The sequence below is a fragment of the Homo sapiens genome, chromosome 4 (genome assembly GCF_000001405.40).
Source record: "Homo sapiens chromosome 4, GRCh38.p14 Primary Assembly".
Classification (NCBI taxonomy): Eukaryota; Metazoa; Chordata; class Mammalia; order Primates; family Hominidae; genus Homo; species Homo sapiens.
The window spans coordinates 135,777,314-135,792,275 of record NC_000004.12 but is presented as its reverse complement, the minus strand read 5'-3'; positions in this window follow the sequence as shown (position 1 = coordinate 135,792,275).

Sequence of the window (14,962 nt, the reverse complement as noted above, 5' to 3'; positions counted from 1 at the left end):
TTCAAGGTGATTTAGCCTGAAAAATTTATACACTTACAAATTATTTACAATGCATACAGCTACCCAAGAAACACCAAAAAATCAAACTTCTGAGTTTGCACCAATATAGCTCAGTATTGCCAAACAATGATGGTTTGCAGATTATTTGTAATCATAGGTTCCTTTACTATATCTGCAGTTGTAATTTTCCTAAGGTGAATTTTTTTCAAATCCTGCTAAAGTTCAGGCTGTGCAAAGTGTGTGAGCTGCCTGAGGCAAAGGGTGAAAGAGGTGAACTGAATATTAAAATGTCCATAGTAGTCAGTTTCACTGCTTATCAGTCTCTCCTACATGAGGTAGAAAACAGCAGTTGCTGAGGCTCAGCAGTTAAACTGAGGAATCAGCTTTATTCTGCTGTAGAGTAAATGACATTCTGGGATTTGAGTAGATTAGCTAATTAATGAATGCCTTAAGTACCTACATTGCTTTCCTGCCCCAAGGCTTTTCACATCTTCAACTTACCTTCTTGGTAATGTCTCTGAAATCACTTTTATTCCAAATGCAAAAACATTGTATCTATCATTGACTCCAGACCATAGGAAGGTTTCTTTTTAATATTTTAGTGTCTTATCCGTATTGTACACACGAGCTCAAAGAAGACAGACAATCATACATACACTCATCATTTTCTCAGGAATGATTACTTTCATACTCTCATATTACAATCACACAGACCCACAAAACTCTGTAAATATATCCCTAGTATCAGTGAAGACACAATACCCAAAATTGTTAATTTTAATTTTCATTTCTGCATATTGGAATATTCCATCCATTAATGAGTAGCAAATGTATGTCCTGTACTTCTTTAGAGTGTCATACATGATTCTATACTGAAGAGCATCTGTAATATCCATTTCAACAGCATTAAGTACAACATCTTGAACAGACTCATAATAAAAGGGAAGCAATAACATTGGATTAAAACTTTCCAGACAAAATAGGATGGGTCATCTGATAAGTTTACTGTACAAAATCAAACCAAATTTTCCCATCCAGTATATTAAGAAAGATGCTTAGCTCTACTAATCTTTTACTGTAGAATAATTAAACATTTTACAATTTAAAAATGTTTTAAAATATTGGACAGACACTTAATAATAATTTTGCCCTCTATGTATATTCTCATCACTTAAAACTTTGAAAGTTACAGAAGCCTCACTGAATCCTCAAACTAGGGATTTGTTAGAGCCCACAGTAGCATTCGCTGCTACTGTTCTGCATGTAATTCTCTTGAAGGAAGTGTTTGTGACACCTTAGGGGTTTCCTAGCAAGTAAATCAATTCCAAAGGTTGGCATTGCAGTGATATGGAAACAACAATAACTTCAGAGAAATGTGGTCATAGTCAATGGCATCTTAAAATTGTAAACCATGCAAATGCATCAGCAGGAATACACAAATACACAGGGGAGGCAAAAAGAAAGAGACATGCTAAGCGAAGACTACTGATGCCAATTGTAATGGCCAAAAAGAATTACAGTATAGGGAACACAAAATGAGAATATGATGTTGTTAGCATATATATTCATATTTTCAATTTTTTAGTTAAAATAATAGTATTATTCTCTATATATGTATCTATATTTCCAAAATATGTTGGAATTGAATGCATACGCATTAAAATTCAAACTACAGTATTATATAATAAAATAGATTCTATATTCAACTAAAATGAAAAACTCAAATTGACAATATATAAGCAAACACAGAATAAAAATACAAAGCATATCGTATAGTGATAATGTCACAGTATTATTCTTAATGTGGTCAAATATAATGTTCAACTGACTTTAATAAAGAAAAACTTTGTTACTTAGAAAAATCAGTTTCTGCCAGGATGTGTTAAAATTACTTCTAAAATTTTCACATTCTTTTCAGAGACATGGGACTTTGGCATATTTTTTACTTTAAGGGTAAGTATCAAATATTTGATTATATGCTCATCTTTTTAGGTATTGGCTATAATATCAATATCCATATACTATATATTTAGATTTTGTTACCACATCCTGGCTGCCAAGTTCTTTGGCTATTATGTAAGGTGAAATGAACACCAGGACAATTGGAGATTTTTCTCAGGCAAGATATAATGAGCTTGTGAGTGGAGCACGCAAGGGAACAACGGACAGGAACAGGATCCTAGTACCAGCTCCCAGAGGGGCTCTGCTCTGGTCATTTTGAGGAAGTTGAGGTGGGAAAGGGAACGACCAACATACAAGCATTTTTAGTGAGGGTGTTTTCTGCATCACATGACCAGAAAAAAGCAGATAAGCCCCACCCACCTTGGCTGAAGAGTTTAGTATTACAATGAGATTATAATGAAGAAAATGTCAGTGAAAGGTCAATGCTGAAGTTCACCTTGTCTTCAGGCAGCCAGATCTGGTTATATTCTTACTGGGAATGCCAGAGTCTTGCTTCAGTGACCACGGAAAGCATCACTCAACGAGATAAACACGTTCTTCATTCATGATTAGGATCTCAGCCTGGTCACCTAAGTTAGTCCCATGTCAAGCTACATGACTTGGATCAACTTGCTAAGGGAGGCAGAATGGTAGAGGAAGGAATATGCCCCTACATGTAAGACCCAGCAGGACTTTGGTTTTAATGACACCTGTCAGCCAGGACTGAGTCTCTTCCCTATACTGCCTCACGTTGGAGATTTATATGGTGCCAAGTAGTCAAGAAAAATAAATAATCTCTTTTCTATATATTTGAAAATATTATTATCCAGTGTCATAAAGATAATCGCCTTGACATTTTCTGAAGTTTTACATAGACATATTTTAATGCAGACACTATCTTAATATGTTAGCATTATTTTAATACTTCAAAGAAACTATAGCTCGATAGAAAATATATGTATATATGTACTTTGCTGATTTGACTTCCCAAATTATTAATTTTCAGAGAAAAAATGTATTTTATAATATTCAAGCTTTATCTAAAGCATGAATGTCAGGTGCACGTAAGATTCTAAAAAAGCGAGAGAGGATTTGGAAAGACATACATGTACATTATTCAACTAATTATGCCATTTCAAAAGTTTATGACACTGGTCTTGCTATTATCTTGTAGAGAAAAGTAACATTTGTCATACTCTGGGGTGGGCTACTGACTAAGGCTTCAATCGTGCAGAAAGCAGTTTTCAAATTTCCATTAAAAAAAAGCAGGCTCCATTTCCATGATAAATTACTCCTAGACAAGAATCATAGCTGACTACCCAAGCGCTTGATTCTGTTTTCACTGATTTGTCCTTCAGTCTCCAACAAAATGAAAATGAAGGACTTACAACTAATTGTGGCAGGAAACAGAGCTAATTTCCTCATACTGCCAAAAAAAAAAAAAAAAAGATTGTATGCCATTAAACTTGAGAAGTAATCATATTGTGTGCAATAACAGTGTTATTAATGTCTTTATTGTCCTACAAACTGTCTTGATTGCTATTCTTAAGTAAATTTGCTCCTGAAAAATCATACAGATTTTCCTCAATAACAATGAAAAAAAAAAAGGTTTCAGTTAGTAAAGAAGACTAAAACCTTCTGAAGGAACTTTCAAATTTTCCATTTTAACTGGGAAATCAGAAGCATTTCTGAGTGGGTTAAATATAGCGGACTAGCATAAATTTTAACCCTTTACTTGAAGATACATATCTAAACTTTTAACTAAGGATCACTCCCTCCAATATTCCACTGATTAGTAATCAGTGAAATAAAAATTAAAACTATAATGCAAAGCCATTTTATAGACATCAGATTAGTAAAGATTTAAAATATGTTGGAAGTTATGTTGGAAATTGGGGTTTCTCATCCACCGCTAGTAGGAGCAACCATTTTGAAAAATGCTTTTGCGTTAGTCAGTGAAACTGAATATGTCCTAATTAAAATGATCCTTCTAAGAGGGTGCCCTGAAGTGAAATCTCTTGAACATGTACAGATATGGACTTTCAAACAGAATAGTAATTGTTTGTTTTTTAAAATTAAACTGTTACTACAGTTTCTTGTTTCTGGCCAGATAATTTTCATATACATTAATGTGTATATAATTTAGTTAACAACAAATATTTCGTTTCCTTTTTCTTTGCACCTTTTTGCTTTTCATGTTGTTAGAAAGGTGGCTTATTAAAACTTCTCCAGTAAGAACAAACATAACTGGCCACCCGGAATGCTTTCAGCTTTACCAATATTCTTGATTAGGTAGTGAAAAACAGAAGACTGTGTCATCCATATTTAAAAGCTGGTAAAGATAACCATTTTCATTTAGACAATAATGTGTGTTCCAAATATTGATTATATTTGAGCTATTCATTACTTATGCAAATATACTTATAATTGTTTATGTTATATTAGTTTATTTGAAATTTCATTAACACAACAAGACGGAAGTTTGCACAAGGAAGATTGTCTATTTGCCATTTTTGTATTATAGTTTAAAAAGCTGTCTATTATACACAACACAACTTTCCTTGATGACTGTTTGTCTAGAGGATAAAGTAAAATCACACACCTCCTGACTTCTTATAGGTATAAAGTCAATTTTTTTTAATCTTTTTATCTAGGTTAATGTTTCTAAAGTAGTCTCCTTATTTAGGAAGAGACAGATTCAAAGATGTCTCATTAAGTTAGGTTCCTATTTCTGGATTCCTTCAGATTTACCTATTGCAAGTTATAGATACAACCTACTCAGCACTGTCCTTCTAAATGGCAAAAATAATTGAGTGATTTTTTTTCTAATATAGTGACAGGATTCAGGACACAGAACTCTAAAATACAGCACCTTAGAATTTAAGAAAACAGCAGAAGCAGGAAGATCACTTCAACCTTCCTTTTCCCCCCTCCATTCTCTCTCCTGAAATAAATCATAACACCCCCATTCCCGAGGCACCACTCTGTCTCTGCATGGAGGAAAGAAATGCCCTTATCTCTAGCAGCACAGAGACACAGGGAAGAATCTGAACAAAGAGACCTTGCTAAGTTCCCCCCAGTTCATGACCATTATGTCATGCCCCCTTTTGCCCAATCATATTTCCTGATAACTGTTCACTGTTTATCAAACATAAGTGATAAAACACACAGGTTTCCCTGTTCCTTTGAGTCTTCATTCCTGAAGGATCCCATGTCACATGAATTTATATTAAGTAAGTTTGTATGATTTTCTTTTGTTAATCTGTCTTATGTTATAGGGGTCTCATCCATGAACATTGGAATGCATCGGTGAGGAAAATATACTGTTTTTTCTTCCCTTCAATTCATAATTCACTCCAACTAAATACTATCTCAATTTGTCATCTGCGGAGGTTGCCCTCTAGTACACATATTCACACTGTGTTGATAGCCCACGTTCCTAAGACATCTGGGCATTGCCAAATCTCCTGATCTCTGATGACCTTCCGTTGGAGGGAAAGTTGTGTCACTAGAATATTGCTCCCATGTTTATAAAATACCTATAATGCACACGAGAGATCTTTGCCCTCCTGTCCTCACCGGATATTATATATCTGATAAGCAAAAATACATTTTTGAGTATTTGTGCTTTTTTTATCATTAATTTGTTCCATTTTATATATTCATTGACCTTGTGTGTGTATGTGGAGTCCTGTGTATGTTTTTAAAACACTTTACTGAAGTGTAATTGACAAACAAAAAGTTGTACATATTTAATGTACACAACTTAGTGAGTTTGGAGATAAGTACACACCCATAAAACCATCACTACAATTTGTGCCATAAACGTATCCAGCACCTCAAAAAATTTTCTCCTCCAATCTGTGTTTATTATTATTTTCTGATAAGAACATAAGATCGACCCTCTTAGCAAATTTTTAAGTATGTAAAATTTAAGTACACAATACAGTGTTGCTAACTGTAGGCACTATACTGTATGGTAGAACTCCAGGATTTATTCATCTTGTGTAACCGAAACATTTTACCTTGCCATTTTCCTTTCCCCTAACCAATGACAACAACCATTTCACTGTTTCTATGAGTTTGTCTATTTTAGATTCCTCATATAAATGATATAATCTAATACGTGTCCTTCTGTGTCTTACTTCAATTAAAAAATGTCCTTCAAGTTTATCCATGTTGTTGTAAGTGGTATGATTCTCTTTTTTCTTGAAGTTGATTAATATTTCATTGTATGTATATACCACTTATTATTTATCCATTCATCTGTTGGTGGGCTCCTGTGTTATTTGTTTTCCATGTTCTTTTCTTTATTCCTTTATAAAACTTTAATTCTTTACCATTTTGTATCAGATTGAATTCATTCTTTTCATGCTTGTTTATTTTAAATTTGTTATATTAACATTTGGACCTACATAGCTGAAAATGCTTTTTTTGCTTTTTCTAAAGATTTTATCTTTACTTATATTGCTTATGTTGCTTTTTGTCCAAATAATTAAATTTTTAAAATCTATTTAAATATTTTAATTATTACCATACAACTTCCTGCATTGTTTCCCTTGCTTAAAGATATCATAAATTTTAACCTTAATTTTGGATTCTCTCTGCATATTCTGTAAGTCCAGTTTCAAAATGATGAACCAGAAGCATAACTTGGAATTCATCAAACTTAATTCCCGTTATGCTTTCCTCATTCCACAATCTCTTTCTTTTCATTTCTCTTGCTATTGGTCTGTTAAGGAGAACATGGATATTTTGTTCATCTTGTTGGGCAGTACTTACAGCAAACCTAAGACTTAGCTACAATGCATAAATTGGGTTTTCAGAAAATTGGAGTACTTTATTTTTAAGAGTAAAATTAACATATAAGCATTTATCATATTTATTACTTAAGAACAATGTTAAATGAGTGCTTCCTAACTGGTGATTTATGAAAACCCTGGGGCTTGTAATGATTTGAAAACATGCCATAGGCCATTTACTGCACATACTCTCGTGGCACTCACAGAGCTACAGTAAATACAAGTTACTGTCATTTCTTTCCAGTAAGTGAAGTTCTGATAAATTCTAGTATCATTCTACTCTCCAAAATAGCCTCTGTTATTATTACATGCATAAAGATGAATAATTGAAATGCAATTTATTTTGCAGTCTGACATTTTAAATAAATCTAGAACAAAAGTTACAGCCAAACTATACACATAAACATTTCAATATTTTATTAGATATTTGGGGTCTGCAAAACAGTGTTTTCTTTTTTAATAAAAAGAATCTGAGGTAAAAATCCTCAGCATTTTGACCACTGATGTCCAATGTATATCAGATATTTCTTGTTAGTTTTCCTGGAATAAAACAGTGCTATGGTCTGTGTTCCCCAAAATGTATGTGTTGAAACTTAATGGCCAGTGTGATAGTATTAAGAGATGAGGTCTTTAGGAGATGATGCCTTTAGGAGATGATTAAGTCACGAGGGAAGAGCCCTCATGGATGGGATTAGAACCCTTCTAAATGGGCTTAGGGAGTGGGTTTGCTCTCTTCTTGTCTTTTGTCATGTAAGGATGCAGCAAGATGGCCCTCACCATATATGAAATGCTGGTGCCTTCATCTTTGACTTCTCAGTCTCCAAAACTGTAAGAAATCAGGTATATTCTTATGCATTAGTCTCAGGGATTTTGTTATAGCAGCAACAGTGAACTAAGATAAACACTAACATTTTTGTCCTCCATTGTTAAGCTCGATTTCTTATTCTACAGGCTCAAGAATAACTTTAAAGAAGTATAGAGTAGGCTCTGCATTGTTTGGCTCTGTTGTACATTTTACTATGTTACTGAAGAGGATCTATCAATGTAGTTATCAGTTAATTTTCCTGAAGCAGGGTTCTTATTTTTACTCTTTCCATGACTTTTCCCCAAGATCCCAACCTATTGCCAATACAGTTAAGATTTAAGTCAGCTCTAGAACTTGCAAACTAAGGAATCTCCATATGATTCTCATTTTATTTTCATTAATAACTTAATACAACTTATGAGTACTCTAAGAAAAAAATATCTAAATAGGTGACTCTAGACTTTTTTTGGGTCTTTGCTCTATAGGGTATTACAAAAATGTGGTCATGAACATCCATATATAAATCTTTGAGTGTATAAATATTTTCATTTGTTTTGAATATATGCAGATTTATATTTATATATATTTATATACCTAGAAGGAGAATTGCTTTTACTGCAAGGGTATGGTAAATCTGTGTTTAATAATGTTTAATATTTTAAGACACTGTCAATAGATACCCACAAACAATGAATACCTATTTTAGGTTCTGCCCATAGTTGCCTACGCTTGTTACTGTCGGGTGTTTTAACTATAGCCATTCTATTAGGTGGGAAGTGCTATCTCATTAGGGTTGAATTCACATTTCCCTAATTGCTACTGATTTTAATGCCTTTTCATGTGCTCTGTGGCCGTTTGTATGTCATGTTTAGTGAAATAATTATTTATATTCTTTCCAATTTTTAATGAGGCTATTTATATTCTTATGTGTAAGAGTTCTTTCTATATATATTTTGGATATAAATCTTGTATAATATAATTATAAATATTTTCTGCCAGCTTTACCTTGATTTTTTACTTTCTTGATTGTATCTTTTGAAAATCAAAAGCTTTTAATTTTGATTAAGACAAGTTTATCAATTTTTCTGTTACATCTTGCCATTTTCATGTTATATCTGATTATGTATTCCAAATTTAAGAATATTTAATCTTAATCTAAGAGACATAGAATTTTTTAGAGTTTATAGTTTTAGCACTTACAGTTGGGTTTATGACTTATTGTGAGTTAATTTTTCTGTACAGTATGAGGTTAGGAACTAAATTTATCTTTTTGCATTGTATGTACAGTTATCTTAAGATAATACGCGTAAAAGAGTATCCTTTTCTCATTGAGTACTTTTAGCCTCTTTGTTGAAAATCAGTCATGCATGCAATAATTTATTTTATAATTTTGATGATGTTTCACAAATTCATATGTCTTTCGTTATTTCACAACCGTACTGTCTGTATTACTGTAGCTTCGTGCAGATGCCCCTCAACTTATGCTGGGTTAATAAATTCTTTGTAAGTCAAAAGTATTTTAAGTTGAACTATAGTAAGTCAGGGACTCTCTGTACTAAGATTTGAAAGTAGAAAGTATGTTCTTATTTTTTAAAAGTGTTTTGGTTATGGGGTCCTTTGGATTTTTGTGTGATTTTAGCACAAGTTTGCCAACTTCTGCAGAATATGTCAGCAACAGCTGGAACAAGGATCACATTGTAATTTATATATTAATTTAGGAATTATTGCTGTCCTAAGAATGCCAAGTCTTTTTATACTTTTATATGGAAGTTTTACAGTTTATTTATATTTGCTGTTGCACCATTTTCTTTGAGCACTATTTGTAGTTTTCAAAATACAATACTTGTACAATTACGGTTGAATTTCTAAATATTTTATTTTAGTGCTGCTTTAAATGGGAATTTTCTTAGCTTCATTTAAAATTTATATTTGATTTTTGACTGAGACTGCTGGAGTTCATAGTTTTTGAGTATGTGTGTGAGCATGTATGTAAATGCGTGTATTTTTTCTGTATACAAGATTATATTGTCCACAAGTAAAGACAATTTACCTTTTCCTTTCTAATCTGTCCCGATTTTATTTCTCATTTTTTTCCTTTCTTTGCCTAATTGTACTGGCTATTATTTCCAGTAGAATGTTGAACAAATGTGTTAAACGGAGAGAATCTTGTCTTGTTCTGGGAAAAGCATTCAGTCTTTCAACATCTGGTATGTTTGTCAGCTATAAGGTATTTTTAAGATGTTTATTATCAAATCAAGGTGTTTCCACTTTACTTACAGTAGGTAAAAAGTTTTTTTTAATTAAAAACGAGTTTTGCATTTTGCAACTGAATTTCACTGTATCTATTAAGATAATAATTTGCTTTGTGTCTATTGTTCTATTATTATTGTGTGTTAAAACTCTAACTGGCTTTTGGATGTTAAATCAATTAATTCCTGCCATAAACCGTACTTTTAATGGTGTATAATTCTTTTTTATGTTATTGAATTTGGTTTCCTATTGTTTTGTTGAGAAATTGTATGTCTACAATCATGAGGGATTCTGATCTGTAGTTTATGTTTTGTTTTGTTTTGTGATGTCTGTATCCGACTTTATCTAGTTGTATCTGGGCAACACTGGCCTTATAAAATGGGCTAAGTAGTATCCTCCTGTCATGTTTTTTGACATAGTTTACACACTATGGTATTACTTATTTCATAAATGTTCAGTGGAATTTACCAGTTAAAGCACCTGGGTTTGGATATTTCCAAATATGTGTGTGGGTGAATGATTTCTAATTAATAATTTAATCTCTTTAGTTTGTATAGGCCTTTTTATAGTATCTTATATCTTATATATTCTTCTGGGGTCCATTCGGGTAATTTGTGTTTCCAGAAGCTTGTCCACTTCATCTAAGTTGTCTAATTTGTGGCATAAATTTTTTCATACTATTCCTTCAACTCCTTTAATATCTGTTAAGTCAGTAGTGCTGCCCCCTCTTTCATCCCTTATATTGGTAATTTGTGTCTTCTCTTAATTATCCTTGGCTAATATCGTTAAATGTGGGTGAGTTTTTTGCTTAATCTTGAAGAAGATCCGATTTCTGGTTTCTTTTTTTATATTTTCTAATTTATTAATTTCTGTTTCAATTTTTATTTGTTCTTTTTTGGGTTTATTTTCCTTGGTTTGAATTCAGTTTTCTAGCTTTTTATACTAACCACTTTGATTTGAGATCTTTACTCTTATTTTATATTATTATTGTAGTTTAATTAACACCTTCCATTTAGATATTAGTTTTCTTTGGGTGAGTCTTGACTTTTTGTTCCCCTGATTTTCTGTTACTGCCTTCTTTTAACGGCTTGCATATTGTTATAACATTTTGATATATATTTGATGTTTTCTTCTCAGTGGTTGCTCTAGAGATGACACTACATCTCTTGTCTGAATCTGCTTCAAATTTATGCTAACCTAATTCTATTAAAATACAGAAACTTTGCACCATTATAGTAATATTTTCTCTTCCTTTCTTCACGTTGAATCATCTGTATTACATCTATGTATGTTACAAACCCAACATTAGAATGTTAAAATTCATGCTTTATATAATCCTGTGTCTTTCAAAGATTCTCTAAGCACAAATAAAATATAAAATATATGTACATAATCTTACATATTAATCTACTTATGTTATTGTTTCTTGGATTCTTTCTTTCATTGGAGAAGATTGAGTTACAATCTGGAGTCCTTTCCTCTCTCTGTAGAGCATTATTATCCCATTCTTAGATTGCCCAGTTTTCATATATATACATCTTTAAAAGTTAAGGGATAAAATTTTATAATTCTTGTTTTATGTACTTTTTAAGAGTTACTTAAGCAAATAATGGAGAAAATATACAATTATATTATGTAATCATCCACCTTATTTCTATTACCAATGCTCTTTATTTGTTTATATGGATTTGAATTACTTTCTCACTTCTAACCTATTCAAATATATATATATATGCATATACATATATACACACAACAGCTCTGTGTGTGTGTGTGTGTGTGTGTGTGTATTTCTTATAAGCTAGTCAAGATAGCAGTACAATCTTTCAATCTTTGTTGTTCATGACTGTCTTTAATTCACTTCCATTTTTGAAGGATAGTTTTTCTAGATGTAATCGAGATACTTCTGTTTTTGTTTTTATTTTGTGTTTATTGTTTTATTTGCAGGACTTTGACTATGTCATCCACTGCCTTCTGGCTTTCATTATTATTAATAAAATATCAGCTGTTAATCTTTAAGTGATTTGCTTGTATGTAATGAATTATTTTTCTCTTGCTGCTTTAAAGATTTTATTTTCATAACTGTATTTCAATTTTTTGACTATGGGTGTCCAGGTGTGAATATCTTTGTTCAAAAACTTGGAGTTTTTTGAACTTTTTATATCTGTACATTCATGTGTTAAATATAATTTGGTAATTTTTTGGTCATTTTTTTCAAACACATTCTTTTTTTCTTCCTTTTCCTTCTGACACTCTTTATATTTATCTTGGTAAGCTTAATGGCGTCCCATATATCTCTAACTCTCTAAATTTCTTTGTTCTTTTTTTTTTCTGTTCTTCAGATTAGTTAATTTCTATTGATGTATCATCACATCTTTATGTCTTTTTGTCATGCCAAATCTACTTTATCCCCTTTAAGTATTTTTTCTAGTTACTGTATTTTTAAACTCTAAAATTTCTATTTGCTTACATATTATTATTTCTGTTTTTTATAAAGATTCTCTATTTAATGAGTAACTGTCATAGTCTTTTGGGATTCTTTTAAAATACTTTTTTTTAATTTTGGATTTTGAGTATGTTTAAAAGAACTTCTTTGAGGTCTTTATCTTCCAACTGCATCATTTGGACCTGTCTTCCTCAGAACTGGCCACAGTATGCCTAGTTTCATAATCAGCCAGTGATTGGTCAGAGGTTGTGCTTTAAGCCATTTGGTTTTGACCCTTTGAGATAGGTTTGTGTGTATCTTTAGGAATGTTTTCAATTTGGGGGAAGTTAAAAGTAGTCCCTGTAATCAGCCAGTGACAAGTGTTCACAATTTCCCTCTCTGTGTCTCCTGAACAGCCATAGCTTTACACATGTGCATTGCCTTCAGAATCACAAAAGATGGAGTTGGATCTTAGGAGAGCCCTCTTTGGCTGTATCCCACTCTGGGCTTCCCTGACAAATTTCTGGGCGGTTTTCCATTTTTCTACCCTACCTATTTTTTATTTTTTTGCCACTGTAATTTCTGAAAATCATTTCTAAAAATTGATTTTTCCATGCTTCGTTCTGTATAATGTCAAACACCTTAGATCACTCCATGAGTAGAATTTCTTCAACATAGTGTCAGTAGTAGAAATGGCCTCTGCCCAGAATGGAATCTCCATGCAATAGAGCAAGAACTGGGTGTAGGAGGGAGTAGAAAGGAAGCAGCCATTTCTCATGGCCTCTTCTTCTTGCCTAAAGTAGGCTATCTCCACCACAAAGTTATGGTAAAATGATGGAAACTTTGAGCAACTCCCAGAATAAACCTTCCAAACTAGTTGCTGAGTGTAGATGGGAACAGCCTCTGACCTAACTATCTCAAAATCCAATGATGTATTCTGAGAATAGGACATTTTCTTGAATAAACTATTTTTTAAGTTGTATTCTCTGTAGTCAATTTTCAGAGACTGTAAATGGTTGTATTTTACTATTTTGACCATTTTTTGCTGCATTATTCTAGAAATAATTTTTCAAGCTCTTTATACAGGCATTTCAGAAGTCTTCTCATATATTACTTTTTTAAAAAAATAGTAAAAGTGTTGCTTTCGGAAAACATAAACATCAGTATAAAACAAACAAGCTATCTACAAAGCATTTATCTGAAATTAAACAGTTAGCAGAAGATGGAATAAACGCAAAAGTATTTTTATTGCAAAAGTTTTTTCTTCAAGAGGGTTATACTCTTCAATTTATTATTAAATTTTAAAGAGACATTTTACAATAATATATGATAATACTTATATACATACTTTAAAAAGATGTATTGAAATAATAAATTCAGGGCTATCTATATGCAAATTGGTAGATAAATAAGAAATAAAGTTAGTAATATAGATTACTGTTTTTCTTGAAGATTTACACATGGTCATCACAAATTTTATCCTAGGTCTCGTGAGATATCCAGTATTTTTCTCTGAAATTTTCCACCCATTTTGTTTCCATATACGTTGCCACTAAATGCTTGATGTCATTCATACAACCTCTTCTTATTTCTCTACAATGAATTCAAATTTAGGGGATATCCAAATTACATAGCCCTATCATATCAAGTGGAAGTTGGAGGTGGGAGGATTGTTTGTGCAGGAAGTTACATTGCAGCACAGTAGAGAAGGTAAAAATCAAGGAAAGAAAGTATTATACATTTTCACTTTCAAAAATCATTCAGCTGTCTTCAACAAATGTAATTACACATTAAGAAAATTCTCTAAAGTTCTATGAAAATTCATAAATATAACCAAAGCAGAAATGACCAATAGAAACAACATTAAAGAAGTTTAAAGCAGCAATCAGTAAACACTATAACTAATCTAGATGAATATAGTTACAATAAAATAAATGGAGAAATCAATTATAAATATTTTGTGTTTATAATGGAATATCTAAATATGAAAATCAAAAGCATTCAGAAATAAAAATAGAGGTAGAGCAATAATCTACATGGGAAACCTCAATAATCTATTCTGATATATGTTGTAGGCAGAAAATAAATGCATTGTGGATGGTTTCTAATAATTTCTTTTACTAATAGTATAAAATGTCTTCACCTTATTCTCAATACACTAAACCAATGTAAATCTTAATAAAACATGAACTATTATCAAATACTTAGGCTGAGAATACATGCATGAGATGCATGCATTTTTAGGTATATTATTTTATTTTATCTTTGTAGATTTGAGATATATAATGTGATAGATAAATTAAACTGTTTTATGAAATTATGAAAAACAGTAATTTTTCTTTATTTTTAGAATATTTTGTTTGCTTATCTTTTTTTCTATACCACAGAGCAAAAGTCAAGGAGCAACTAAGATTGTGCTATGACTATGCCAGTAATTTGATCTCTTGTGAAAAGCCTTCTCCAAGGCTAGGAGCTCCCAGCTGTTCACTCATTTGGCTCATATTTAAAAGCAAGTATGAAATTATACTTTAACATTGCCAAAATATTTCCCGCTGCCAGTAGTACACAGCCAATGATGCTGAGAAAACATAAGGTGATGTTTGAAAGATATAATTCAGAATATGTTCTTCCTACTTTTTTTGCATCTATAACTGATATTTCACATAAGAAGAAAAAGCACAATAGTGAGGAAAACGCAATAATTGTAGTTTTCATATGGAGTTTAATTTTTGAAACTTT